Below are 26,979 nucleotides of genomic sequence, written 5' to 3'. Positions count from 1 at the left end.
CAATTCTTATTTTTACTATGTATTACACATGCCAATCTATTCTAGTTCTATTCTGTTTTCCATTCCGTTCCATTCCATTCCATTCCATTCCATTCTGTTCCAAGAAAATTCTGGCTACAACCTTCTGATTTCTTTTTTTTCTTTTAACCTTCTGATTTCCAGTCTTCTTGTGGGTTACAATAAATTTACCCAGAGAGAAGGTTCTCAAATTCTTACTGCAGAGGTCCCTGGAATTTTTCTGGTTCTGTCCCCTCCCACACTCCCCCTAGCCTGTCATTCTAGGACCCACTCTTCTTGTCATTCTGGGACCTCCAGCCCCTCTTTTTGTAAGGCAGCCAGAGCCCAGCTGCTGTCTATAAGGGGCCATAACTGATACTTCAGCCCCCTGAGATCTCCCTGAGATCTCAGTGACTCTATCCTGCAGCTTTGGACAAGGCTTCCCCAAGGGGTCTTCTTTGACCCCCTCAAGTCTGCTCTCTGTTGGCACTGGGCCTGCCCTAGGCTGAGGTCACATGGGACACACCTCTGTTTGTCCCCATGACCCTCTCCTCCGAGAGGAATGACCAGGCAGGCAGGTGGTAGTGGCTGTGATGCATCCCTGGAAAATTACAGCTTCCCCGCCCTCCATGCCAACCCTCCTCCTGGAGAGCAAAAGTAGTCCTAACGGCCATGGCTGAACTACTGCCAGTGTAGATGCTGTGTTCAGGTACACAGCGTTTTCACATGGTGGGAAGATCTGCTCCCATTTGACAGATGACAAAACTGAGGCTCAAGGAAGGAGAGGGACTCGTCCCAGGTCTCCCAGCTCAGAAGTGGTCAAGAAGGGGGCCGGGCATGGTGGCTCATGCCTGTAATCCCAGCACTTTGGGAGGCCAAGGCTGGCAGATCACAAGAGGTCAGGAGTTCAAGACAAGCCTGGGAAACATGGTGAAATCCCATCTCCACTAACACACACACACACACACACACACACACACACACACACACACAGTAGCCGGGAATGGTGGCATGCACCTGTAGTCCCAGCTACTCAGAAGACTGAGGCAGAAGAATCACTTGAACCCTGGAGGCAGAAGTTGCAGTCAGTGGAGATTGTGCCACTGCACTCCAGCCTGGGCAACAGAGTGAAACTGTATCTCAAAAAAAAAAAAAAAAAAAAAAAAAAAAAAGAGAAGTGGCCAAGAGGGGATTCGAACCCAGGAAGTCAGACTCCCAAAGGGACAAAAGGTGAATAGGGCCACCTAGTTCAGGGTCCTGGCCTTTCCTTTTCCCAGGCCTTGTTTGCCCATAATAAAAGGGGTGAGCTGGATGCAGTGACCCCAAAGGTCGCATCCAGATCTGAGCTTTGGTGATCTCGGACCATCATTATCAATTCCCCCGGCCATGCCATAGTGATTGAAGCACAGTTGGTTTTGGGTGCCCTCTCTTCCTCTTGGGGACCACAGTCCAAACCCCCCTGGTCTTTTCTCTTCTGGTCTGTCCCAAGTTCAAGGTCTTTGATCTTTCCTCTCATTGCCACCCCTCAGGGCTTGGTTCTTTGCTCAGATGACTGAATCTGGAGTCCAGGGTAGGCACCCAACAGCAGCTCACTGGGTCCCTATCCTGGGGCCTGGGACACCTTAACCCAAGAATTTGCAAACTTGATACAAGCTGGGTGCCCATCCTTAATAAAATCATGCTGAGAAAGCCAGTTCATAAAAGTGTTTCCAAAAAGGGCTGCTCTGGTTAAAACAAGAGCAGAGAGACAGACTCTCGTTTGCCTGGCTTTCTATTACCCCACCCCCCACGATTCCAGGTCACCCCGGGAGTCCCTGGAGCCCAGTGTGCAAACCATAGTATTAACCCAGAGTAATTGTGGTATTTCAGGTGCAGCCTATGGGGAAATACTTTGGACAAGCAGCTGATGCTTGCTCGAGCCACCATGTGAGGTGGGCATGGACTGGGACAAGGACAGATGGACTCTGAAGCCCTCTAAAAATCCTAAGACAACACAGCACAGACTTTGGAATTGGGCAGGTCTGGACTCCAATGTCTACCCTTCCCCGGTGACCCTGAGAAGGCACCATAGCTTTCCCAGCCTTGGCTTCCCCATCTGTAATATGCACATGGTAGAACTGTTTGGTGGAATAAATGAGAAGGCACCATAGCTCTCCTAGCCTCGGTTTCCCCATCTATAATATGCACATGGTAGAACTGTTTGGCAGAATAAACGAGGTGATACATATAACGGGTTTAGCAAATAATAAACATGGAACACGCACCATTGCTGATGTTGCTATTATGGCCCCATCACTTGTGAACTGTCTGATCTTGGGGGAGTTAGTTCTTCATCTGTGAACTGGAGGTGATGATGGTACCTACCTCATAGGGTCCTTATGCATGGAGATAGATGTGTGGGAACATGTAAAGGTGCTTAGTTGATGCTTGGCACAAAATGAACATTTAGTGCATGCTGGATATTACTTATCGTCATTATTATTATTGTAATCTTTGCTCCTGCCCTAGTGGCCAACCACCCCCGGGCTTCGTCCTTGCCTGCGGACGACGCAGAGGCCCCCTCCCCCTGGGCCCCGTCTTACCCCGGCGGGATGGAGGCGCGCGCGCTCACGCTGGTGGTGCGCTGGGGCCCGGGCCGGTTGAGGTTGTTCTGCCCCGGGGTGCGCGCTCCGCCGGGGGCGCCCGGGCTCCGTGGGGGCGCCCCGGGAGGCGGCGCGGGCTCGGCGGGGCCGGCGGCGGGCGCTGCCCAGAGCGCGGCGCCTGTGAAGGTGGCGCTGGGGCGCACGGCAAGCGCGCCTGGAGGCCCTCCAGGTGGCGGCGGCGGCGGCAGCGGGGGCGCGGGGGGCGCCTTGCGGCGCTGCGAGGCCAGGATGGCGTTGGAGGCGGCGCGCGTGCTGTTGACCAGCAGGCACTGCTGGCAGGAGCAGGGCTGGCCCGAGCTGGCGCCCACGGGCCACGACTGCGACTTAGGGATGGAGCCCACGGTGAGCGGGTAGGCGAGGTCCAGGCGGCGGCGCAGGCGGCGGCGCCGGCGCGTCTGGCGGTTCATCTGCGACATGCTGTTGAAGTAGATGAGGTAGCAGAAGCCTAGCGATGAGAGGTCGAGCCACGGGTGCTGCTTCTCGTAGGCGTTCTGGATGGTGATGCAGATGTCCATATCGTAGGCCGTCCATGCGCCGCCGTCGTTCTCCCACTCCCACACGATGCCCTTGCCCGGCGCCGACGACGGGTCGTAGAAGTTGCGCCGCACGGGCCGCATGGTGCCTGTACTCGAAATGGGGAGGAGGCGTCAGCACAGCGGGCGTTGGTCTGCGCGGCTGGAAGGGCGGGCCACAGCCAGGCAAGGGTGGGCGGGAGGTTGGGGGGTCAGCACAGGCCTCCAGGGGGTCCACCCAGACTTGGGGAGAGGGTCAACACATGCACGGAGAGGAAGGAGGTCAAGGCCCAGGCATGAGGTTCAGCACAGGCTGGAGGGTCAGGACAGGCGGCAGCCAGGGTGAGGGGGGCCGGGGCTAAAGGTTCAGCGCATAGCACTGGGGCGAGAGGTGGGCAGGGGCGCGTGGTCAGTAGATTGGGCGTAGGGGCGGGAGAGCCACCAAACAGGGTGGGGGTGCCAAGATAGCCTGGGGTAGGAAACCAGCAAGGTGTGGAGGGCTCCCCCACCCTCCACCTCTCCAGGGCCAAGACAGACACTGAAGTGGGGGTTATCACAGGCCCTGGATGGTGCGGGGGAGGGCAAAGGGGGCCTGGGGGTTCTTCAGACCAGAGTCAGATAAAGTGGGGCAGGCATAGACAGAGACCAAGGCCATGCACATAGGCCCCATGCAGTCCTCTTCTTCATTATAGTTTGCTCACTCATTCAATGATTCATTCATCAATCTGTTCATGCCTTAGTTCATTAATTTAAGCACTATTTCATTTAGTCATTCAACAATTCTTGCATTAGTTCATTCACTTATCCATGCCCTAGTTCACATATTCATATATTCCTTCATTCAATGATTCATTCATTCATTGATTCTTTCCTTAGGTCATTCATTCGTGCCTGCAGTCATCCATTATGTTATTTTATTTTATTTATTTATTTAGAGACAGGGGTCTCCCTATGTTGCCCAGGCTAAGTCTCAAACTCTTCGGCTCAAGCAATCCAACCGCCTTGGCCTCCCAAAGTGCTGAGATGACAGGTGTGAGCCACCATGACCGGCCCCACTTTTTTTTTTTTTTTTTTTCCAGGCAGAGTATTGCTCTGTCGCCCAGGCTGGAATACAGTGGCACAATCTAGGCTCAATGCAATCTCCGCCTCCAGGTTCAAGCGATTCTCCTGCCTCAGCCTCCTGAGTAGCTGGGACTACAGGCATGCACCACCTTGCTGGGCTAATTTTTGTATTTTTAGTAGAGATGGGGTTTTGCCATGTTGGCCAGGCTGGTCTCGAACTCCTGACCTCAGGTGATCCACCCACCTCAGCCTCCCAAAGTGCTGGGATTACAGGTGTGAGCCACCGCCCCTGGGCCCCTTATGCTTTTTTTAAATTGATACCTTTATGTATTCTCCATCTTCAGCCCACTCCCGTATTCAGGCATTCAGACATTCCTTCATTTACCATCATCCTATTTAAAAATGTGCACCCCCCACGTACTTTCCCCTCTCTCCTTCCCCGCTCCATTTTCTCCCTCAGATATACTTCACATTCTACCCATTTATCTTGGTTTCTGTCTGTCCCCCCCTCGCTAGAATGTAATAGCCACAAGGTCAGGGATTTTGTTTTATTTACTGCTATATCCCCAGCACCTGCACACAGCAGGTGCTCGAGCGATATTTGTTGAATGAATGAATAAATTCATTAGGTCACAAATGGATTCTTTTTTTTTTAATTCATTCACACTTTGTGCTCATCCCTGCATTCGTCCATTCCTTCATTTGCTTATTTGTTACTTTCATTCATCTGTTTGTTTCATTTGTTACTTCCTTCAACAAACAACTGCTGACTGCCAGGTGGGCCCCCTTTCATAAAGGAGGGCACTGAGGCTTTACTCCAAACCACAGCTTCATGTTTGCCAAAGCTCTGCGTGCTCCCCTGACAGCAAGGCTCCACGGGAAACTCTGGGCTAACCAGAGATAACCCAAGGTCCAGGCCGCAGGACTTCTCAGAGCCTTTAGCCTGCTCTGTGTCTTGGGGCTGATGAAGTGAGTCTTTTGCTGGGTTCATTTGGCACACCTGCAGAAAGGCTGCACACTTGACTTCCCCTCAACTGCGGGAAAGTCCCTTAAGCCTCCTCAGGCCTTAGTGGCCCCATCTCAAAAAGAGGGGTGATCATCCATGACCCAGCCCTTCCCTCTCACACAGTATTTGGGGGAGGAGTGAGTGAGAACAGCTGCAGAGGGTCTGGGTGGGACCCCAGGGCTGGGAGGCAGACAGCCCTCACTTCAAGTCCTGACTTTCTGACTTTCCAGCTCTGTGACTGTGCGTAGGCAACTCAGCATCTCTGGGCCCCAGTTTTCTCATGTTGAAAATGGGCATAAGCAGACATGCAATAGAAGACTGCTGCGTTTGCCAGCTGTAGCAACAGTTGCTTGTGGGGTTGCTGAGAGGATCAATTGAGATAAATACCGTGTCTACTCTGATGATTCCAAAATCTGCCATCTTTGGCCCCGTCTTCTCCCCTGGGAGCCAGGTTCATGACCCTTCCCTGGAGAGGTTTAACAGGCACCTTGAACTCAGCTCTGCTCTCCCCTGCCCCAAACCTGCTCCTCCTGAAGTCTTCACATAGCAATTCCTGGCAGCTCCTGCGCTTCCGGATGCTCTTCCTTGGACCCCCAAATCTTGGTCTCATCCTTGACTTCTACCTCATATCCCACCTCCAATCTGTCAGTAAATCCAGTCATCTCCACCTTCAAACACATCCACATCTGACCACTGCTCCCCACTGCACTCACACCACCCAGTCCCCGCCATGTTATCTCTCCTGCCTGGACCATTGCAGTAGACTCATGACTGGCCTCTGTAATCCATTTCCCATACCGCAGCCAGAGGGATCCTGCTCAATGCAAGTCAGATCACATCTTTCCTCTGCTCAAAATCCTTCCTGGCTTCCGCTCACTTGGAGTAAAAGCCAAAGTCCTTGCCATGACCTACAACGAAATCACACATTGTGGGGCCCTGTCCTCCTCTGGCATTGTCTACCTCCCCCTTATCACTCACTCCATTCCAGCCACCCTGGCCTCCTTGCTGTTCCTCAAATACACCAGGCACTGTCCAGCCTCAGGGCCTTCTCACTGGCTGTTCCCTCTGCCTGGAATATGACCTCACCATTCCCAGATGTTCTCATCATTTCCTCCCTTCTTTCTTACAGGTGTGTGTTCAAACATCTAAAAGTGCAGCCCTCCTATTGCTGTCCTCTGAGCTTGCTTTATTTTCCTCCCTGGCACTTGGCATTACCTGACTGACTATATATATATATGAGAGAGAGTCTTTCTCTGTCACCCAGCCTGGAGTGCAGTGGCGTGATCTCGGCTCACTGCAACCTCTGCCTCCCAGGTTCAAACGATTCTCCTGCCTCAGACTCCCAAGTAGCTGGCATTACAGGTATGTGTCACCCAGCTGATTTTTTTTGTATTTTTCGTAGAGACGGGATTTCACCATGTTGGCCAGGCTGGTCTCGAACTCCTGACCTCAGGTGATCCACCTGCCTCAGCCTCCCAAAGTGCTGGGATTACAGGTGTGAGCCACTGCGCCAGGCTGTGACATGATGTATTAATCTGCATGCATTCTTTATGCTGCGTATCCTCACTCTAGGCTGTCAGCTGCAAAGTCAGGGATCTTGTCTGCTTTGCTCACTGCTGTACTCCCAGCACCTGGCACAGTACCTGCACACAGTAGGACCTCAAAACCTGGAAGGCATTTCCATTGTTAATTGGCATCTTCCTCGGGTGCCTGGCCCAGGGATCTGCAACCAGATAGGGGAACTCAGACTGTTCCACACTGGTGTGTCCCTACTCAGGGCTGAAAGAGCTTGTCCTCTGCCCTCTCCTCTGTTAGAATCACAAGGGCTACAGACTAGCCTTGTGCCCTGCCAACTGGACAGGCCCCAATAGCTGGAGAAATCGAGGCACGGAGCTATGGCTATTGATATGAAAGGGGCGGGGTTGAAGAGGTGGAGAGGTTGGACTGGCAGCCCAGCCCCAGGAAATAAGGTCCCTGGGCACCTACCATGTTCCAGCCAATCAGACAAAAACTTCCCCTGCATCTCTGGGGCAGCCTCACTCTGATGCCTGATTTATCATTTTAATTGAGTGTGTGCAGATTGATTTCTTCCCTGGTGATGGGGCTTCCTCCACAGTAGGCCCGGGAGGAGGTGAGTTAGAGAGAAAACCCTGGATCCTGCTCCCACCTGCTCTTGTGTGCTGGTCTTCCCCTCTCAGGGCCTCAGTTTCCCCACCTGCAAAATGAGGGGTTGTGATGACTGATCTTCAAGGCTGATGTGCCTGAAGTACCACCATTCAGCTCCTGGTGAGGTGAAGGCAGTGTATTACCTGAAAAATGTGCAGGATAGGAAGGGAAGCAATGGGAACCCGCCTTATTTAACTTCCCCTGTGTGCCAAATCCTGAGCTCGGCAGGGGAGGGGCCGGGATAGGAGGTGCAGAGTGAAGTGATTCAAGCAACTCAGAAGTCTCTCGGGTCGAGCCAGGTGCAGTGGCTCATGCCTGTAATCCCAACACTTTGGGAAGCTGAGGCGGGTGGATCATCTGAGGTCAGGAATTCGGGACCAGCCTGGCCCACATGGTGAAACCCCCGATCTCTACTAAAAAATACAAACATTAGCCAGGCGTGGTGGTACGTGCCTGTAATCCCAGTTACTCAGGAGGCTAAGGCATGAGAATCGCTTGAACCCAGGAGGCAGAGGTTGCAGTGAGCTGAGATCACACCATTGCACTCCAGCCTGGGCGACAAAGCAAGACTCTGTCTCAAAAAAAAAAAAAAAAAAAAAAAAAGAAAATCTCTCAGGTCTTGTGCAAATCCTGGCTGGTACCACACATAGCCTCAGTGCCCTTATCTATAAAATGGGGGTATTAATATCTACCCCAAAGAATTACTGGGGAAACAAAATGAGATAACGTATAGGCAAAGGTGCTTAGCAGAACACTTAGCATTTAGTAAGCACTCAATGAATACAGCTACAATGGCTGATATTACATATGTTACCCACATTCATCCTCCCCCAGCCCTTGTTCACTTGGCAAACTCCTATTCATCCAGCAAAGCCCTCCATGTGCTCATCTCCTCCAACATGGGCTTCTCTGTTCTGTTGCTATAGTTGGCAAACGCAGCAGTCTTTTATTGCATGTCTGTCCTCACACTGTCATTATTTGTTTTTGTTCTTAGTCATCCTCATTGGTAGATCACTTTTGGGAGGACAAAGACTACTAGGTCAGATATGCAACTATGTTTGGAGCACCAGGCACAAAGCCTGGTGCAAAGAAGACATCTGCAAGCGAGACGGGCAACCTACTTGGCACTTGGAGGAGTGGGAAAGAGGAAAATCTGGGCTTGATGGAGAGGGAGTGGAGATTGGAGAGCAAGCAGCCCCCAGGGTGGAGGCCAAGCTTCGAGGGGTCCCTGGGGAGGACCCTCAGGCCAGGAGGAGGATTCTCAACATCAGCGTTGGCCAGCTCTGCAGCAAAGGACTCTGGGAGCCCGTCAGGGCCAGCTAGCCCAGGCCTCCCTCTCTCCAGGGCTCTATTTACCAGGTATCGATTTTCCTGCCTGTTTACTGGTAGTTATTAAAGGCTGTGTCCCTGGAGTCCTTTTGAAACAAGATTGGAACCTGGAGAGCAGGAGTAATTAGGGCAGCTGCTGTCCTCCCCGCTGGGCCCTGCACCCCGCAGCGCCCGCCGCTGCCCGCCTGCCCATCCGTCCGCCTCTCCGGCCCAGGCTGGCCATGGACCAGGCCGAGGGGGTGGGCAGCTGGTTCCTTGGTGACCTGCCTGGACTTCGATCTCAAGATTTCTAAGGGAGCAGTGGTGGAAATGCTCCTTCTCCTCCGCAGTGGCCATGGCCTAGATTTTCAGCCAGAACAATGGGTCTAAGAAGGGGCTGGAGTTTCTTCAGCCTGGGAAAGAGGCTGGGCCTCAGGCTGGTGGCCCAGAGCAGACCACACCCCACTCTGGCCTTCAGGGCACCCTGCTGTGCTGGCCACAGGGTCTGCGTCCCCCAGGCAGTTAGGGGCCTGTGACAAACATGGGCTCCGTGCCTCTGCCTCGGCCTGTTTTTGTGTCTCTGCCTTTGTTGTCTTCCCCTTCTCTCTCCTCCCTAGTTGCTTAAAAATGTTTGGCAGAAAAATTCCAGGCTTCTTCCAGCTGAACTGGAGAAAGGGGCTTTGGTCAGTGTCAGCTGGAGGACTGCACAAGCTGGGCCCCTGAGACCGGGTGTGGGGGCGGCCACAGCCACAGCTGCCAGTGACTGCTTCATGCCTGGGGCAGAGACAGGGTGACAGCAGGATGGAGAGAGACAGAGAGAGACATACATGATCAAAGAGACTGTCAGAGACAGGCCAAGGCCAACATGGGAAACTGAGGCAGATACCAAGAGAGCTGGAGTCAGAGATAGAACGAGCTTGAGAGATGAAAAGAAAGGGAAGCTGGAAACCTGGAGGCTGAGACCATCATGGAGAATCAGGGAAACCAAGGCTAGCATTTATTGAGCACCTACTGTATGGCACATGCTGCACTCAGCACTCTCCTTGCACTCACTCATTCCATCCTCACACCATTGCTTCCAGGGAGGGACCAGGACTATTTCCATTTTACAGATGAGGAAACTGAGGCCCGGAGAGGTGAACTCTTGGGAGGGTGAGAGCAGAGGGCTGGGAATGATGCCACACTCGTGGAGTAAAGGCAGGCCCAGGTTGGACTGGTTCCATGGGGTTCAACCTCACCAAGTGGTAGCACAGCCTAGGATACTTCCAGCGATGGAGAGCTCACTACTTCAGCTTTACTTTCCGTTGTTTAGCCGTGTGAGGTTTCTGCCCTAGAGCATGGTCCCGATCTGAACCCACTGCCTAGAGGTGGGTATGTGGGTGCCTCAGCCCCCACCTCTTGGCCTTAAGAAGCAGCTGACTCCATGGAGAAGGGGGAGGGTTCTGAGCCCCCGAGCCTTCCTCCTGCTGGTCCCTCAGCCTCTAAACGGTTCCTCTCTGGGCTGGGCCAGCTTCAAGGCCCAGCAGGGAACCCCTCCCTTTGGGGGTGGCTTCCCGGAGGGAAGTGATCTCAGTTTGGGGGCACCCAGACCCTGACGGGAAGGGGGCACGTGGGAGGCGGTCATGGGACATCCTGTCAGGCTGGGGGAGTCCCACCACAGGCTGAGGCCTGTGACCGGGGGTTGGGCAGTGGCTGGGCCCCAGTCAGAGACTTCACTGAATCCTTCACCAACCCAGAAGTCATAATACTAACAGCCATCCACACTCAGAGAGCACACTTTTCTGCCCCAGGCTGTGTTTAGCTCATTCAAGCGAAAGAGTGTGTTTAGCACCCCTAGGAGGTGGGGGTGTTATTGCCCCATTTTAGAGGCGAGAAAACAGAGGCACGGAGCAGTTAGGAGCACACCGGATGCCATCTGTGAGTGGTCCAGCTGGAGCCTACACAAGGCCACCTTGCTTCATTTGCTGTTCCCTCTGACTTAGTCTCATGAGCCCATGTTCTGGGGGAGGAAACTGAGGCACAGCGGTTGCATGGTAAGTAAGTGACATGGCTGAGGTTCCAACCCTGGATTGCTATGTGACCTTCTGGAATAGCCCCTTAGCTGGCATCTGCATGGCTGCTCACCTGTCTCCTACAACAAGGACAACAGCGGCACCCAACACCTTACCGAATGCTCCGCAGTGCCAGCAACTGTGCTAGGGGCTCACACACATCATCTCCCAGTCCTCACAGCAGCCCCAGGGGTGTGTGTGCTAATATTAGCCCCATCGGACAGATGGGGAGACTGAGGCTCCCTAAGAAGACGTGGAAGTCTGGCTGGGGGCACCGGCTGGGCTGGGATTCGAGCTGCAGCCTGTGGATCCAGGCTGCCTCACCAGCTCCTGCCCCATGATCAATAATCCCGCAGTGTTCTGTTTCCCTCCAAACTCTCCTCTGGGATTCATCAGGCTAAGCTGTGGCCCATTAGTGGTTTCCTTGTGGTTGAAGCTGGCCCAGGTTCTCCAGGGTCTGCTGGAAGCCAGGCCAGGGTGGTGGGGAGACAAGGGGAGGAGAGGGGGTCTGCAGTGCTGCCTAAGGAAGGCTGAAGGGCTGCGTGGCACTCGGAGAGGCTACCACCTTGGAGGCTGCTGGCAGGCGGAGGCGGGCACTCATACGCCATGGGCTGTATGGGGGGCTTTCTGGTCACCTGGCTTCCCACACACCCAGCAGGGGATTCAGATCCCTAGCAAAGCAGGAAGTGGAGGGGGAGGGGACAGAGGGCTGGACAGTCCTCCACAGCCTGAGCCCTCCAAACTGCTCCTTTCTCATCTGTGAAATGGCATAATTGTAATAATAATAAAATAATAATGATAATAAACACTCCCAGAGGGCCTACTATGTGCCAGGCGCTGTTCTAAATGCTTCGTGTAAGTCAACTCTTCAGCCACAAAATGACTGGGGCAGGTTGTTATGATAATAATGATAATAAACATATGATAATGATAACTATTACGATCACTGTCTTGTACAAACACTGAGTGAAGCACAGAGAGGTGAAGCAATTTGCCTGAAGTCCAGAGTCACATAGCCACTGGGCTACTAAGTGAAGATTGAATCTAGTCAGGATTTGAACTTCCCCGACTTCCACTGTCAGCCCTCTGGCCCATGCCACCAGAGTGCTAGCCTGGACTGTTGCAGGGGCCTCCTCCCCATGTCCCAGTGTCCACCCTTTGCAATGTTCAGTGCATTCTCACATGGCGCCGGGGGGATTTTTCACAGACTCAAGGCTGGACTGTGTCACTCCTCTGCTCCACAGCTATCAATAGCTCCCTAGTGCCCTTAGGAATCAGTCTAAACTCCTTAGAGTAGCCTCTGAAGCCCATCACAAGCTGTCTGCACAGCCTCACACTCTAACCACACCAAAATTCCAGCTATTTTTTGAACATACCGTGTGTGCGGTTATGCCTCTGTATTTGCATATGCTGTTCCATCTGTCTAGAGTGTCCTACCCACCCCACCCCACTGGCCTCCCTGCTGAGTTCTTTCTCAATCTTCTGGCTCAGCACAAGCACTCTGTCTTCTTGGAATCTTCTCTGCCATCCTTAGGGCAAACCACTCGCTCCTTGGGGACTCCATAGCACCTTGCGCCTGCAATGCTCCCATCAAAGCACATAGCTCACTAGGTGCGGAGGTGTCTGTGTTCCTTCGGGCCTGGCAGCCCCTCCAAGGCTGGGCTGGTTTACAGTCACCTTGGCATCCCTCTGTGGTCAGGAGTGCAGGGAGGTAGGTCCTTGCAAAATGTTGGATGAATGAATAAATGAATGAATAACCAAATACATCTGAATGAACCTAACTGAATGCTGCTCATGACTAGGCTGGAGACTGCAAGCTGGGCGGATATGGTTTTGTTCTGGTTCACATGCTATTTACATTTAAAAAATAGTGACCTGTATTTATTTATTTATTTATTTTTTGAGACAGGATCTCACTCTGTTGCCCAGGGTGGATTGCAGTGGTGCCATGATAACTCACTGCAGCCTGCACCTCCTGGTCTCAAGCAATCCTCCAGCCTCAGCCTCCTGAGTAGCTGGGATCACAGGTGTGTGCCATCATGTCTAGCTATTTTTTTTTTTGTTTTTATTTGGTGGAGATGGGGTTTCACTACATTGCTCAGGCTGGTCTTAAACTCCTGTGCTCAAGTGATCCTCCTGTCTCAGCCTCCCAAAGTGCTGGGATTCCAGGCATGAGCCACCTCAAATGGCCTCACATTTAAAAATTGGGGCAGATTCACACCAGTCCAGATTTCAGAAATCCCCAGATATCCAAGGGTGGGGCCACAACAATTGGCCTCCTTGGCAACAGTGAGCAGGAGCTGAGTTATGCTGGCCCCATTCATGCCTTCAAGTATTTATTGAGCACCTGCTGCATACCAGGCACTGGAGAGCAAGACAGTTAAAAAACCTCTGCCTTCCCAGACACTGCACACACTTCTATTAGTTGCCCAGGCCCTGTAAGCATCTGAATTTGCAGCCTTTGTGTAGATGGGTAAGCTGAGCTGCAGAGAGAAACTTGGGCAAGATCACCTGGCAAATTAGAGACAGGCCTTGGACCCAGGCTCCCTGACTGTCATTTCCACAGGGCCAGGTGAGTAACACCTTGGAACAAGTGAACCTTCGCCCCCTAGAACAGAGGAAGCTGGGGAGGGCAATGCTTACCCCAGCCAGGGGGAGGGCCCTGGGAAGGTGGTATTCCAGGTAAACTCTGTGCTTCCTCTTACCGTGCTCTGCTTGCAGTTGGAGGGGGAGGGGACAAAGGCCCAGTCGGTCATCGGGACAAGAGGTGGCTGTGCTGCAGCTGCTGGCAGGACTGTCCTGGCAGCCTCCTTTGATTGCCTCGTCCTTTGTTCTGCATCTCAGGGTGCTCAGCTCCAGGGCCCAGCGCCAGACTCCCTCATGCACCCCGTCACCGGCCTGCCACTGCTGTCTGTGCAGGCAGCAGTAGCAGCCTGGAGCAGCTCCAGAGGGATGATGGAAGGAGCCCAGAGAGGGAGAGGCGCTTGGCCAGGGTGGCCGAGCAAGGACACAACTATGCGGGACCTAGAGGAGACTCAGCTCCTAGCCCGGCAGCTCCTGGGCTCCAAGGTAGGGGACAGTCCTATATGCTGGGACTTCCTTGGCGCCTGGCCTCCTGCATCACACCCATCATCACTCCACCCCTCACCCCCAGAACAGAAGCACCTTGAGGGCTTCTGTGTCTGTCCTGTTGATTGTGACATTCCTAGTGCCCGGACAGTGCCTGGCACACAGTAGGTGCTCATGAAACTCCTGATGAATGAATGAATAGTGACCACAATCACACAAGTTCAGTACTATCATCAGGTCCATATTACAGGTGAGGAAACAGAGGCTCAGAGGCTCAGGGAGGGAGTGTGGTTTACTTAAGGTCACAAATCTCCCCACCCACTACGATTCTTTTTTTTTTTTTTGAGACGGAGTCTCACTCTGTTACTCAGGCTGGAGTGCAATGGCTCAATCTCAGCTCACTGCTACCTCCACCTCCCGGGTTCAAGTGATTCTCCTGCCTTGGCCTCCCGAGTAGCTGGGATTACAGGCGCCCACCACCATGCCCACTAATTTTTGTATTTTTAGTAGAGAGGGGGTTTTACCATGTTGGCCAGGCTGGTCTCGAACTCCTGACCTCAGGTGATCCACTCACCTTAGCCTCCCAAAGTGCTGGGATTATAGATGTGAGCCACCACACCCGGCCTACACACCCCATGATTCTTAGTAAGCAGCTGGGATGGGAACCCAGAGCCTGGCCCTCACCAACAGCATTCCCCGAGGTAGCTGTTTCCAGGTTCCAGGCCCCATGTCCTCAGTTGATGTCAGCCAGAGGCAGCTAGGGGCTGCTGGGGGTGTCTGTGTCAACCCAGAGGCTGGGTGGGCTCATGGGGGTGACTATCTAAGGGACTGGAGCTGTCCTGGGGACTGGCTACCACCGGTTGTGATTCCAGAGCCAGGTGGAAGGATGGAGGCCCAGGGAGAGACAGAGGTGGCGGGCGGAGGCCTGGGAGCACCCCAGGCACCCCCATGCACCAAGAACATCACACTGGAGAGAGAGTTAGGGACCTCAACCCCATTGCCTACTGCCTGAATGGGCACTTGGAGCCACTGTGACCAGTCCTGCCCCAACCCCTTGGCCTCCCCGTGGCCTCCCCGTCCTGGCCCCTCCTCGTCACCCTCTCATCACACCCTCCATCATCTCCCCTCCCAACCCCTCACGCTTCACTCCTTACCACCTTCTTCACCATCCCCTCCACAGCCCCGCTACCTGTCACTTCCGCATCACCTCCCCTACTCCAGCCCCCACGCTTCCCATCACAGCTTCCATCTCCTCCTTCCTCTCCAGGTCAGACTCCGCAGCTCCTTTGGAAGAATGAGGCGGGGGATGGGAGGAAGCTGGAGAGGAGGAGGGAGGGAAGAAGGAGGAGAAAGGGGTGAGGGGAGGAGAAGGAGAGGGAGAGGGCTGCGAGGGGGTCTGTCCCGGGCATCCCCACCCCCAGCCCGGAAGGCGCGGGCGGGTCGTTGATGGTGCTGTCCAAGGTACTCGGTGGCCCGGGCGAGCCTGGGAAGGGCCGTGCGCACCCAGCTGCAGACCTGGATCTGATCTCAGACCCGTCTCTTCTCAGCGTCGGCAGGCGGCTCCCCACCCTCTGAGCTTCAGCTTTACTATGTGTAAAATGGGGTGACACCCGCTGGCTGGGTGAAGGGAACCCAGACAGACTGTAGGAAGTGCCTGAGGCTGCCCCTGCCCCACCTGCTCCAGCTCCAAGGGCCCGTGATTAATGAGGCTGGTCCTGCAGCGTGGCTGTGAGTCCCCCGGGGCCTGGCTGCTAAAGGGCAGCAGCTGGCAGCCCAGCCTGCCAGGCCCCAGTGGGCCCCACGAGGCCTCCTCTACCCATCCCCTATCTCCCATCACAGCCTCCCTCTGCCACCCAGGCCTGAGACCCTCCTCCAGGACCCTGCTGAAGGACCCCTGCTGTTTCCTCCACCTGTAAGTGTTCCTCCTATCATTCTATTTACCCAAATCACACACTCTCAAAGGACTCCTCCTCCAGGAAGTCCTCCTCTCAGAGGCTCCAGGCATACACCATGCACATCCCATGGCTGAAGGCACCGTGCATCTGCCTAGTGAGGCATTTAAATCTTTTTCTTCCTCGAGCATGAGTGCTTACTACGTGCAAAGTAGTATCCTCCAAGCTTTTATCTACATATCTCATTTATGTATCTCATTATGTCCTCATGACAACCCTCCCAGCTAGGGACTATTCTTATCCCCATTTTACAGAGGAGGAAATAAACTCAGAGACGTTAAGGAATTTGCCCATGGTCACACAGCCAGCAAGGGGCCAAGCTGGGTTTTAGGTCTGTATCTGTTGTCCTTATGAGTCAGAGGGTTCAAAGGCTATTTCCATGATATGCATTTGCCTTCACCTTCACTAGACTCTGAAACTGATCTGAAATGGATAGATTAGACTCTGAAATGGATTTTGCCCTTCTCTCTGAGTCCCCAAGACCCAGCCCAGGACCTGGTACTGAGAAGCCACCAATGACTACCAAATACGAGCGATGAATTTAGTTTCAAAACAGGCTTCTGGAGTTAGCCAAGCAGCCAGAGACCATGGGTCTGCAATAGTAGAAATACAGACAGCGTGACTGGTGGTTGGGGAGCACCCACATATGGATTAGCTGGACCTGCTGCTACCAGAGATGGGCCGCTCCCTGCCCCTACACATAGTCTTTCTTGCCCCTGGCATCAGGCCCAGCCCTAGTCTCCAGTGAGGAGGCTGGAGAGAGGGTCCCAAAGGGTCCTGTAACCAGGAGCTGAGCCCTGGAGGCCTCCAGGGTAGTGCAGGCTGTCCCTGCCTTGGGCTAGACCCTGACAACAAGCCCCAAGAGCGCTCTCAAGGGAGAAGGGGGAAGGGGGAAGGGGTTCTCTCAGCCCTGGCATTAAATGTCACCTTGTTTTCTATCCCTAAGGCCTGTCTGGGGGGCCTGGGCTCTAGCTTAGGACTGGTAGGCTGTGTGACCTTGGGGAAGTCACTCACCCTCTCTGGGCCTCACTGTCCCCAGTTGGTGTCTAATTCTGGAGGTGTTTTCCCCGGTGATGGGAAAAGCTCCTCCCATCTGGGTGGTAACAGCCTAAGGGTCTCCAGCCTAAGTGTCCTCAGATAGTGCTTCCTCTCATGGCAGGGACCAGGGCTGAGTGAAGCCCAAGGTTTCCAGGGAAGGAGGCAGGCTGGAAGATCCCAGAACCAGCCACCACCTGCCACTCCAGCCTGTTGGCCAGCTTGGGGGCACCAGAAAAGGCCAGGCTTGCAGCCTCGGGTATGGCATCTTTGGATGGTCCCCAGCTGGCATCCCTCGGCCTCAGCTATCCCATCAGCAGAAGGGGCAGGAGGCTGCCATGCACCCCTCCAGCAGCACATGGAGAGCGACATGGGAGATACCAGGCAGATAGGTGCCCCTCCCCAGCTCCAGTCATATGAGGCCAGGGAGCGAGCTGGGAGCTTCTGCGGAAGTGGCTGAGTTACACCTCTGTCCAGCTGTGTGAACTGGGTGGGAAATTCAGGGTCTGGGTGAGGCCCTCGGAGGCGGCTGTCCCAGTGGCAGGGGATGTAAATGACCCCCCAGGGAAGATGTGGCTTCTTCTCTGGGAGCAGAAAGCCATTCTCAAACCTTTCCCCGACTGCCAGTGGCAGCCAACCCCCTCACCCCAAGACCCTGATGGCTCCTGGGCCCAGCCCAGCCACCAGCTGAGCATACCCTTCGGCCTTGGGCTTCCCATATGTGGCAATCTTTGTCTGTGGGAGGGACGGTTGGAGACAGAGGGAAATGAAGAAAGAAAGCTTTGAGGGAAACCGGGCACTTGGCTCAGTACTGCGAAGCGAGCAAGCGACCCATCCCTCGCCCAGCTCTGACTCTCCCTCCAACCCTCTGCCTGGGACACCACCGTGATTGATCTAACATCATCCAGCTCAGGGTCACAGCATTAGGCCTCCCCGTGGAGGGGCTCCAGTTTCCAGTCCAGACTCTGGGCTCTGGACCTGGAGGGCTTCAAAGGGAACCTCACCCCCTGCAGGGAGCAGTGAAAACAGCCCAGCAGGGGAAAGGTGAGGGGGCACGGCTGAACAAACCGCAGCCCCTGTGGGGCCAGAGCCTGGCTTCTCCCCTGTGGCCCCAGCCTGACACCGGGGCTTTCTTCCGCTGGCTGCACTGCACGGGAGGCACATACACAGGGCATGTGTGTGTCGGCATTGTGCGAGCAGACTGGTGCTGTGTGTGTGTACGCACACGCACGTGTACCTTGGTACACACCACAAGGGGTGGATAAGCCATGCTGGGTGTCCTGTGGCACCAGCACGGTCTTACCCCATGCTCAGGTTCAGAACATGTGGGGCAGGGGTCAGTGAACCTGCAGCACACAGGCCAAATCCACCCACCATCTGCTATCGTGCAGCTCAGGAAGTAAGAATGGCTTTTACATTTTTAAATGGTTGGGGGAAAAAAAAGAATATTTCATGACCCGTGAAAAAGATATGAAATTCAAATTTCTGTGTCCACAACTAGTTTGATTAGAACACAGCCACACGCATTCACTTACATATTGTCTATGCTGCTTTTCTGCTCCGATAGAGTTGAATAGTTACAACAGAGACTGCAGGTCCCACAAAGTTAAAAGATTTATTATCTGATGCTATTAGAAAAAAATCAGCCAGCTCCTGCATTGGGAAACTAGCAAAGCTAGGGCAGTCTCCCCTCAAAGTTCAAGTTCAGCTTCAATGAACATATCAAGAATTTTACAATTAGAAAATCTAGACAGAAGCTTGTGTTGATTTCAGCACATACACATGAGTTTTGGGTTTTACAGCATTATGTTGGAGTGTGTGTGTGTGTGTGTGTGTGTGTGTGTGTGTGTGTATGAAATATAATATTTTCAAGATTCACAGCCAGGCACAGTGGCTCACGCTTGTAATCCCAGCACTTTGGGAGGCCGAGGCGGGCGGCTCACTTGAGGCCAGGAGTTCAAGACCAGCTTGGCCAACAGGGTAAAACCCCATCTCTACTAAAAATACAAAAATTAGCCGGGTGTGGTATGTGGTAGCTTGCCTGTAATGCCAGCTACTTGGGAGGTTGAGGCACGAGAATCACTTGAACCCGGGGAAAGAGGCTGCAGTGAGCCGACATCACACCACTGTACTCTAGCCTGGGAGACAGAGTGAGACACTGTCTCAAAAAAAGAAGAAAAAAAAAAGATTTAAGATCTTTTGCTTGTCTCTCTTGTACCCACAGTGGTGAGCACGTGCTAGATGCACAGTAGATAATTAGTTGATGTTTGTGGGATAAAATCAGCCAGATTCTCTCTGTTCAACCCGACAACCCTGCTGGAGAGGTGATCCTCTCACCCATTTCACGGATGTGGAAACTGAGACCTGGAGAGGCCTGAGGTCACACCGTTGGCACTCAGGTCTGCTCCCTGCCGGTTGAGGCTCTTTTCCAGTGCGTTACCAATGAGGACAAGACGTCCTTTCTTGACATTGTTTTGCTCCTGGGTAAAGCGAGGGAAAAACCCTCACATATCTGGTGAGGAGGCCTCTTGCCCCACTCTCCAGCAGGTTCCCAGGCAGCTGAGGTCTCCTGCCAATCGCAATAGGTTTCCAGGCCTTCCTCCCTCTCTGGTTGGGGTGGGAGGGGGTTCCTGGCAGGCTCCCAGGAGTCCATTTAGGAATGAGTGTTTTTTTTCCCTTTTCCGGCAAACAGGGGGCAGGTGTGGAGTGAACAGCTCTGGAGAGAGGGAGAGGGGAAGTGACCAGAGCTGAACTTCTGGGGGATCCAGTGAGGCTGAACCATAAAAGGGGTACTATTGAGAGAATGGGGCCTGATGAAAGGGGAGTGTGCAAGTCTGGGGACTCGGGAACATAAGGGGATGCTGGGAATAGAAATGGGGGTCCCCCCAAAGATAAGAGGATCAAAGGTAAAGTTGCCAACTTGGCAGCCTTGTGGGGAGTCTGTCCCTGCTTCTAAGGACCCTGCCGCCCATACCCAACCCAGCTAGGTCCCGGAAGATCTCTACACCCAGCATTAGCTCTGAACCTGCAGAACACCAGACCTCCTAGCAAGGAGTGACACCTACCCACTTCTGCTCTCACAGCCCTGCCCTCTACCCCTAGGAGAAAACAGAATGGGGCGGGTAATGTGCAACACTTCCCCTTCTTCCATCAGGTCCTTGGTGCCTCTCTGGAAGAATGGGCACATGGAGCTAATGATGACTTCTACTCTCTGGATCAAATTCAAAGTTCTTTGCGTGGCTGTCCAGGCCTGTACATCCGGTCCTTGCTCAGCTGCCATCTTGCACCATCTTCCCCTTGGTGGGAGATGCATCCCAAACAGAACGGACTTAAATGTCCTCTGCCCCTTCCTACCCCAGGGCCTTTGCACTGGCTGTGCCCTCTGCCTGGGACACTGGCACCCTCACTCATTCTTCAGATCTCTGTTCAAACATCACTTTCTCAGGCTAGCCTTCCCTGAGTACCTCTGGGCCAGGTTTAGTTCATGCTCTCGGATCTGCCACTGATTGTCTCTGTGGTGATATGTTTGCTTGCTCCCTGACCACACCAGGACCTTCAGTGTAGGTCCTCCAGCACAAGACCTCGACTGATGACTTTGTCTTGCTCCCTGCTGTACTCCAGTGCTTAGCACAGAAATTGACACACAGCAGAGATCAATAAATAATCATATGATGGAATGCATGAACAATTGGCACCATCAGTGATGGTGGTCAATGCCTGGAGTTACGGAAACATAGATGTACTAATCTGTACCATCAATAAGCCATTTGTTATGAATTCGCCTGTGTTTCCAGACATGGTAAGCACTCTGTGGGTACCTAGCAATGTTCCGGACTATTGGAAAGTTCAATCATTGCAGAAACTTATATTGGACTGTGCTAGTTAGAAAGGCTGGCCTCCTTTCTAACTAGCATGGTGTAATAGAACTTTCTGCAACAATGCAATGTTCTGGATCTACACTGGCCCACAAGGTACCACAAGACACATGTGGCTATGAGCACTTGAAGTGTGGCTAGTGAGACTGAAGAACTGGATTTTACATTTTACTTAGTTTTAATTAATGTAAATTTAAGTAGCCACATGTGGTTGGTGGCTAACATATTGGTTGGCACAGCTCTAGAGGGAAAGCGAGCATCCTACCAGCCTGGGGTTATTACGTGTGGTTCTGTCATCCAGGGATTCATAGGAACTTCCCCAAACCCCATCAGCTGGTCCTTGGGGGGTCAAACATGCCAAGGATTTCTAGGCTGCTTCTGCACGGCAGGACCCCACCAGTCCCCACTGCCCATGGAGCTTGTCACAGATACCACCGGGCAATGACTCAGGGAGATCTCCCCAACGATGACAAATCTCCAGAACAAAAGAGAGTAGGCCTGAGAGTGGGACCTCATCGATTTTATCTCCATCATCAGCCATCACATTACCACCAACGCAACCATCAACATCACCATCATTACAACCACAACAGGATCACCAATACCACTAAGTAACAGCCACACACAGGGCTACCAGCCACACCACATGGCCACGAAGACTGCCACCAACATCATTCTCTCATTTTCTCCATCATCACCACCCCATCACACCACTTCCAGCACCACCACCAACACAACTATCAATGTCACCAACACCACTGAATCCCATGGTTAACGCTATCACTGACATCACCACCAACACTGCCACGTCACCATCATCCATCCCTCCATTGTCACCAAGACCCCACCACCATCAATACTATCACTGAGTCACCACCAACACAACCGCTAACACTGTCTCCTCCATCATTGCCACCTCACCCCACCATCAACACCACCAACGCCCCCCATCCCCAATTAATTACCACCAGCACGACTCCACCCCACAAACCAACACTTGGAGCCAGTATAGGATACCAGTTAAGAACTTTGGTTCTGGAACTCAACCGCCTGGGTTTAAATCCCAGCTCTGAGTTTAAATCACTCAGCTTCTGGGAGACTCGGTTTCTTCATCTATAAAATGGGACTCATAATAATACAACAATACACAGACTTACTGCCTGTGATTCTTGGGAAAAATCAAATGAGGAAGTGCATGTAAAGCCCTTATTCTACAATCCCATGCTACTGCTGTTCTAGGTTCTGTGCTCAGTGAGCACAATTTTATTTAATCCTCACTCAGCTGTGAGAGATATTGATCTACCCATTTTGCAGATGAGGAAACTGAGGCTCAGAGAGATGATGCAACTTGCTCAAGGCCCTACAGCTTGCTCAGAGGCTGCATTGGAATCCAAGTCTTAAACTGGACAAGGTTAGACTGCCCTGTTTTTCTGGAGGTGAGGCAGGGAGATGGGGAAGGGATTTGGCATCAGCAGATTTACTGGGATTTTCAGCATCCTACGCTGCAAGGTAGTGATGGCTCGGCGGGGCGGGTGGCATGGGGTGGGTGTCTGCTCACCTGTGTCCTGGCGAAACTGGTGCATGGACTGCAGGTCGATGATGTAGGGCACAAGCTGGGCGTCCACCTGCCCCAGGACCACGGAACCGCGAGCGTCCTCCTTCAGCACGTTCTCAATGTGGTGGCACACGGTGGCCGTGTAGGGCCGCCAGCGGCTGTGCTCATTCAGCCACTCCCACACCACCACCCGGGCCACGTTCTGCGGTGGGAAGCCCAGACCATTCACAGGCATCAGCCCACCGTGGCCTGGCCGTGACATGGCCGCCACTGCCTCAGGGGCCAGGTCCCCCACTATTGCAGGCCCAGCTCCTCCTGGGCCTGGCAGCAGGCGGCAACTTCCTCTCTCCCCAGGGGGACAGCAAGGACCGTCTGGCCTCCTTTCTAACTCTGGGTTCTCTCTGAGGCCTAGAGACCTCCGTTAAAGGAATGTGGGATGGCCATCCAGGCTGCAAAGACCCCTTCCCTGTAGAGCCTTCTCCGATAAAGGGTGCTGCCCTGGAAAGCAAGTGTCTCTCTTATGCCGGAGGAAACAGCTCTAAAGTCCTTGGCCCCCTCGGCTGGCTCAGGTAGGGAGTGAGGCAGCCGCCCCTGTTCGAGGTCCAGCCTCTTCCGTGTTGTCTCTTGGTCCCTCTTCCCCGCCAGACAGGGCCTGTCACCCAGGAGGCCTGGGCCACAGCCTGCTGCTCCTGCGGCTCTCAGCCAGCCCTTTGCACTCCCAACTGCGTCCCAGACCCTGCGCCCGGCTTCAGTGGGGCTTCTCGCCTCCCTCCGGTCTGGGCCCCCTTCTCCGACGGCTCCTGCCGAAGGGGGCGTCCCTGCCCCCTTGTTCCCTCTCCACGGTGTCCTGGAAGGCCTGGGTGGCCGCAGAACGCACGGGGGAGGGGTGCGGCGTGGACCCTCGGGCGGCGCGCCTGGACTGCGGCTCCGGAGCTGGGCTGGGGGACGAGGGGGACGAGGGGGGCGGGGGCCCGTGGGCACGCCCCACCCCACTCGTGCTCGCGACCTGCCAGGAGACAAGAGGGGAGAGGGCCCTTTAAGAGGAGAGCGCAGCACCCCCTCCCCCCTTCCCAGGAGAGCATTCGGCTGAGAACAATGGGGAACCGAAGGGGGACAGCAAGGGGGGCGTACGGGGTCGCCCCGCCCGCTTTCCCTTGGGGCAGGCCTGGAGGGAAGGCAGGGGCCGGGGGCGCGGTTTTCCGAGACTCTCCGCCTGGGGGGCGCCCTCCTTGGCTCCCGGAGCCTTCCCTTCCCCCGGGGCCCTCGCCCTGCCGGGGGGATGCCGGGTGCGCTGGGGTGCGCCGGGAAGCACGGGGATGCGCGGCGCTGCAGGCGCGGCCCAGGGCCCCTCGGGGGTCGCGTCGCGGAGGGGGCGAAGCCAGGAGCTGGATCGTCTCTGCCTCCCGCCCTGGGGGTAACAGCCCCGCTTCCCCAGCCCAGACGTCCCCGAGCCGCTCGCGGGCCCCCAGCGGGAGCCGGGGGTGGGGTCCCTAAGCACCCGCGTTCTCACCGCCTCTCTTCGTCTCCGGCTCCGGCTCCGGCTCGCGCTCCAGCACCGCCGCCTCCTGGGCTCCCCCCGGAGTGGGAGGGAGCCGCGGTCCCGCCTCCGCGCCCGTTCCCTCCCAGGCCCCTCGGCCGCCGCGCCGAGCTTTCCGCGCGTGGACAGACTGCCCGGCCGACGGACGGACGCAGGAGCCGGCTGGCGGCCGCCGGGATCTCGCGGGTGGGAGGAGGCCTCGGCCGTGCTCCGGGAGGGAGAGGGGAGGGGGCGGAGGAGGAGGAAGGGGAGGAGACAGATCTCGGCCCTGAGCGCCACCGGCGCTGACACGCGAGTCTCGGGGCGCCCCAAATCCTCGGCCAGGCCCTCCCGAGACCCCAAGGGGCCTTCTGACCCCAAGCAGAGCGTGAGGCAGGGAGTGGGATGTTTAGGAGTCACCGGCTTGAATCTTTGTCATCTTTATTTCCAGTCTCCCAGTCCAGGGCCTGGCACTGAATAGGTGCTCAATAAATGCTTGAATGAATGAATAAGATCCAGAGACTGTCTAAAGAAAGATCTTGAAGCATTCAGAGCTAGCCTCCTTTCCTCCTCTAACTATTCCTGGGGGTGGGAGGGTGCTGACAAGGCCTGATTCAGACTCAGTTGGAACCGTGGAATCTGAAGAGTACAGATGAGGAGACTGAAGCCAGAGAGAGTAAGAGCCAGGCCCAGGATCACAAAAGCTTAGAGCGATGCCCAGACACCAACCCCGATCTGAATCTCCTGCCAGTACCCAGTTCCCAGCCCTGAGCCCACTTCCCCCAAAGCACCCACCTGCTCCAGGTGAGAGGGGTGGGACCAGGGGAGGGGACCCTGGCCAGGAGGTGAGATCCTGGAGGAAGAGAAGGGCAGGCCCTCTGCCATGTCATTCACAGCCACCTGCAAACAACTGGTGCTCAATAAATGGTGGGTGAGCATTGGTTGGATGGAAGGGAAGGCTGGAAATGGCAGCGGCTCAAGTGTTAACGGGATGGCCAGTCCCCCTGTCCTCCAGCAAGCTGGATGCGGCTGAGACACACATTGGCTGGGAGGGGGGTGGACCACCTGGGGCCTGGGGGTGTTTAGATTGGGGAAGATGAAGGATGCGTCCGGGAACTCCAGCCTGGGTGGCTGACGGGGGTCAGTGGCCTGTTTGGGCGCCTGCCCAGAGCAGCCCACGCCTGCCTCCCCGGGGCAGATGGGGATACACTAGGCAGGGTCAGGGGCAGGCTGCTCAGGGGTGCTTTCCCAGAATCCAGCTCTGGCTCTCCGGCCAGCTGGAGGGACCTCCCCTCCCCAGGCCCCTGCTCTGACCTGCAGCCCAGTGTTGGATGGGCTTTTTCAGATTGGGTCAATGATTCTGCTTGCTTTCACCTGCTGTAGACTAAAGAGAGAGGCTTTGCATAGGGCAGGGCCAAGTCTGACGATACTCCCACAGGATCACTGAGTTCTGGGATTTTAGCCTAGGGTCCCTGGATGGCCTTCTGGGGTCCATGAAGTCCCCCTCTCCCATTACAGGCAAACTTGTGTGTCTAGGCATTGTGTGTCTTGTATGTCTGGGAAGAAGGGCTCTGGCTGTCAGCAGATTCTTCTCACAGGAGACTGTGACTGAACGGATTCAGAGCAGGTGCTCAACCAGCTTATGTTGTAGAAGGATCTGGGGATCCCACAGTGGAGAAGAGATTGGCTCAAGGTCGCATGGTGATTTAGCAGCAAATTGGAAAGAAGAACTCGTGTCTCTGGACTTCCTGTCGAATGCTATTTAAGGTCTGATTAAATGTCACCTCCTCCAGGAAGCCTTTCCTGAATTCACCCCATCTTCCTCTGTGTTCCTTTGCCCATACCTTGACATGACACCCTGTATCACAATTAGCCTCTTAAATGAAATCTGTCCCTGCTAGAGTGAGATAGCCATCATATTCATCTTGGTGTGGTGTGGCTGGTGCCCCATTACATAAGGGTGTCATTTACTGAGTGCCTATTATGTGCCAGGCACTTAAATAATACTTACTACTCTTCATAACTGCCCCACAAGGAAGGTAATGTTGTCCTCATTTTACACAAGGAAACAAAAAACCTCCTGAAGCTCAGAAAGGCTAAGTAGCTTACCCAAGTTCCCACAAGGAGTAAGTGGCAGAGCTAGGGTCTGAGTCCCAAATGCTTTTGCACCTCCCATAGCACCATGCTGCCTCTGTGTTTGTTGAGTGACTACTGGATGGCACCCAGCTGAGGATCTGGTGCAGAGTGGCCCTTAATGGCCCCTCTCAACTGGGTTTGGAACATCTGGGAATGCAACACTCTGCTCCCAGGGAACTTGGGGAGAAAAGAATTCCAAGGAGAGGGAAGGAATTTGGCCACCAAGGAGCCCACAATTCATGGGAGGGATGGCTCAGATACCAATGGGGAAGTCAATAGGACAAAAGCAAAAGCAATCAATCATGAACTGTTTTTTTTTTTTTGGTCCATTGAGGCATTTTATTCATATGAATTTATTACATCCCTAGAAAAACAATCCCAGGATTTTCCCTCCTGTGTATTTTTGTCTTGCTTCCTTGCAATCCCTGATACCAGCTGAGGTTGTCAGGACAATGAAACCAAAGGGGATAGGGGTACCATTTTTCTAGATCTTTGAGTTGCACATCAAACTGGGGCTTGTCACTGTACACTTGTTTAACCTGCCTGTGAGGTCCACAGTGATTTTTCTAGCTCTGTGATTATTGATGATTGCAAATTCACTGATGTAAACTAAACTTCATCATCACACTTAGAAACTAGATGATGATTTTGGAACACAACCTAAAACAACCTGGTATTTGCTTCTCTTCTCAGCATGTTGATGCTATTGAGAACACTGGCCAGGACGTTCACATGCACCATTATAGCAGCTCAGAAAGATGGCAGAAAGAGACCAACTCATTTTTTTTGTTCTGCCATCCACCATCCACTTATCCATCCACCCGTCTATCCATTCATCTATCCACCCATCCTCCATCCATCCATTCCACCCATCCATCCACCCACCCACCCACCCACCCACCCATCCATCCAGTCATTCACCCATCCACCCACTCATCCATCATCCATTCATCCATACACCCACCCACCCATCATCCATCCATCAATCCATCTATCCATTTATTCATCCATTCATCTATACATTCATGTATGAAATTTCCCACCTTCCTTGCTTCCCTTCCTCCATCTCTCCCTTCCTTCCTTCCTTCCTCTTTTTA

The 26,979-nt window shown here is 54.1% G+C and overlaps 1 protein-coding gene and 1 pseudogene across 1 annotated transcript in view, besides 4 other annotated features; both read right to left on the bottom strand.

The window, feature by feature from the left end:
• DTX1 (deltex E3 ubiquitin ligase 1) overlaps positions 1-23,955 on the bottom strand; it is a 41,296-nt gene extending 17,341 nt beyond the window's left edge. Inside the window, exons 1-3 of the mRNA NM_004416.3 lie at positions 23,741-23,955; positions 22,234-23,236; positions 2,580-3,261 (exon numbers count right to left, since the gene is read on the bottom strand). Coding sequence (NP_004407.2) covers positions 2,580-3,261; positions 22,234-22,492 — 941 coding nt within the window. The 5' untranslated portion in view covers positions 22,493-23,236; positions 23,741-23,955. The remainder of the gene's footprint in view (positions 1-2,579; positions 3,262-22,233; positions 23,237-23,740) is intronic.
• Positions 13,117-13,617: an enhancer, noted in NCBI's record as "H3K4me1 hESC enhancer chr12:113504873-113505373 (GRCh37/hg19 assembly coordinates)". NCBI's record gives its function as "activates a minimal SCP1, AML or CMV promoter by ChIP-STARR-seq in naive H9 embryonic stem cells {active_cell/tissue: H9 hESC(naive)}" and the evidence as "EXISTENCE:reporter gene assay evidence [ECO:0000049][PMID:30033119]".
• Positions 14,859-15,417: an enhancer, noted in NCBI's record as "H3K4me1 hESC enhancer chr12:113503073-113503631 (GRCh37/hg19 assembly coordinates)". NCBI's record gives its function as "activates a minimal SCP1, AML or CMV promoter by ChIP-STARR-seq in naive H9 embryonic stem cells {active_cell/tissue: H9 hESC(naive)}" and the evidence as "EXISTENCE:reporter gene assay evidence [ECO:0000049][PMID:30033119]".
• Positions 15,174-15,374: a silencer, noted in NCBI's record as "peak1968 fragment used in MPRA reporter construct". NCBI's record gives its function as "represses an SCP1 promoter by STARR-seq MPRAs in K562 erythroleukemia cells {active_cell/tissue: K562}" and the evidence as "EXISTENCE:reporter gene assay evidence [ECO:0000049][PMID:32103011]".
• Positions 21,929-22,717: an enhancer, noted in NCBI's record as "H3K27ac-H3K4me1 hESC enhancer chr12:113495773-113496561 (GRCh37/hg19 assembly coordinates)". NCBI's record gives its function as "activates a minimal SCP1, AML or CMV promoter by ChIP-STARR-seq in primed H9 embryonic stem cells {active_cell/tissue: H9 hESC(primed)}" and the evidence as "EXISTENCE:reporter gene assay evidence [ECO:0000049][PMID:30033119]".
• RPS15AP32 (ribosomal protein S15a pseudogene 32) lies at positions 26,247-26,623 on the bottom strand (annotated as a pseudogene).

This window comes from Homo sapiens, chromosome 12 (assembly GCF_000001405.40).
Source record: "Homo sapiens chromosome 12, GRCh38.p14 Primary Assembly".
Lineage (NCBI taxonomy): Eukaryota > Metazoa > Chordata > Mammalia > Primates > Hominidae > Homo > Homo sapiens.
Note: the sequence above shows the minus strand (reverse complement) of the source record. Positions and strands in the feature narration are given on the sequence as shown.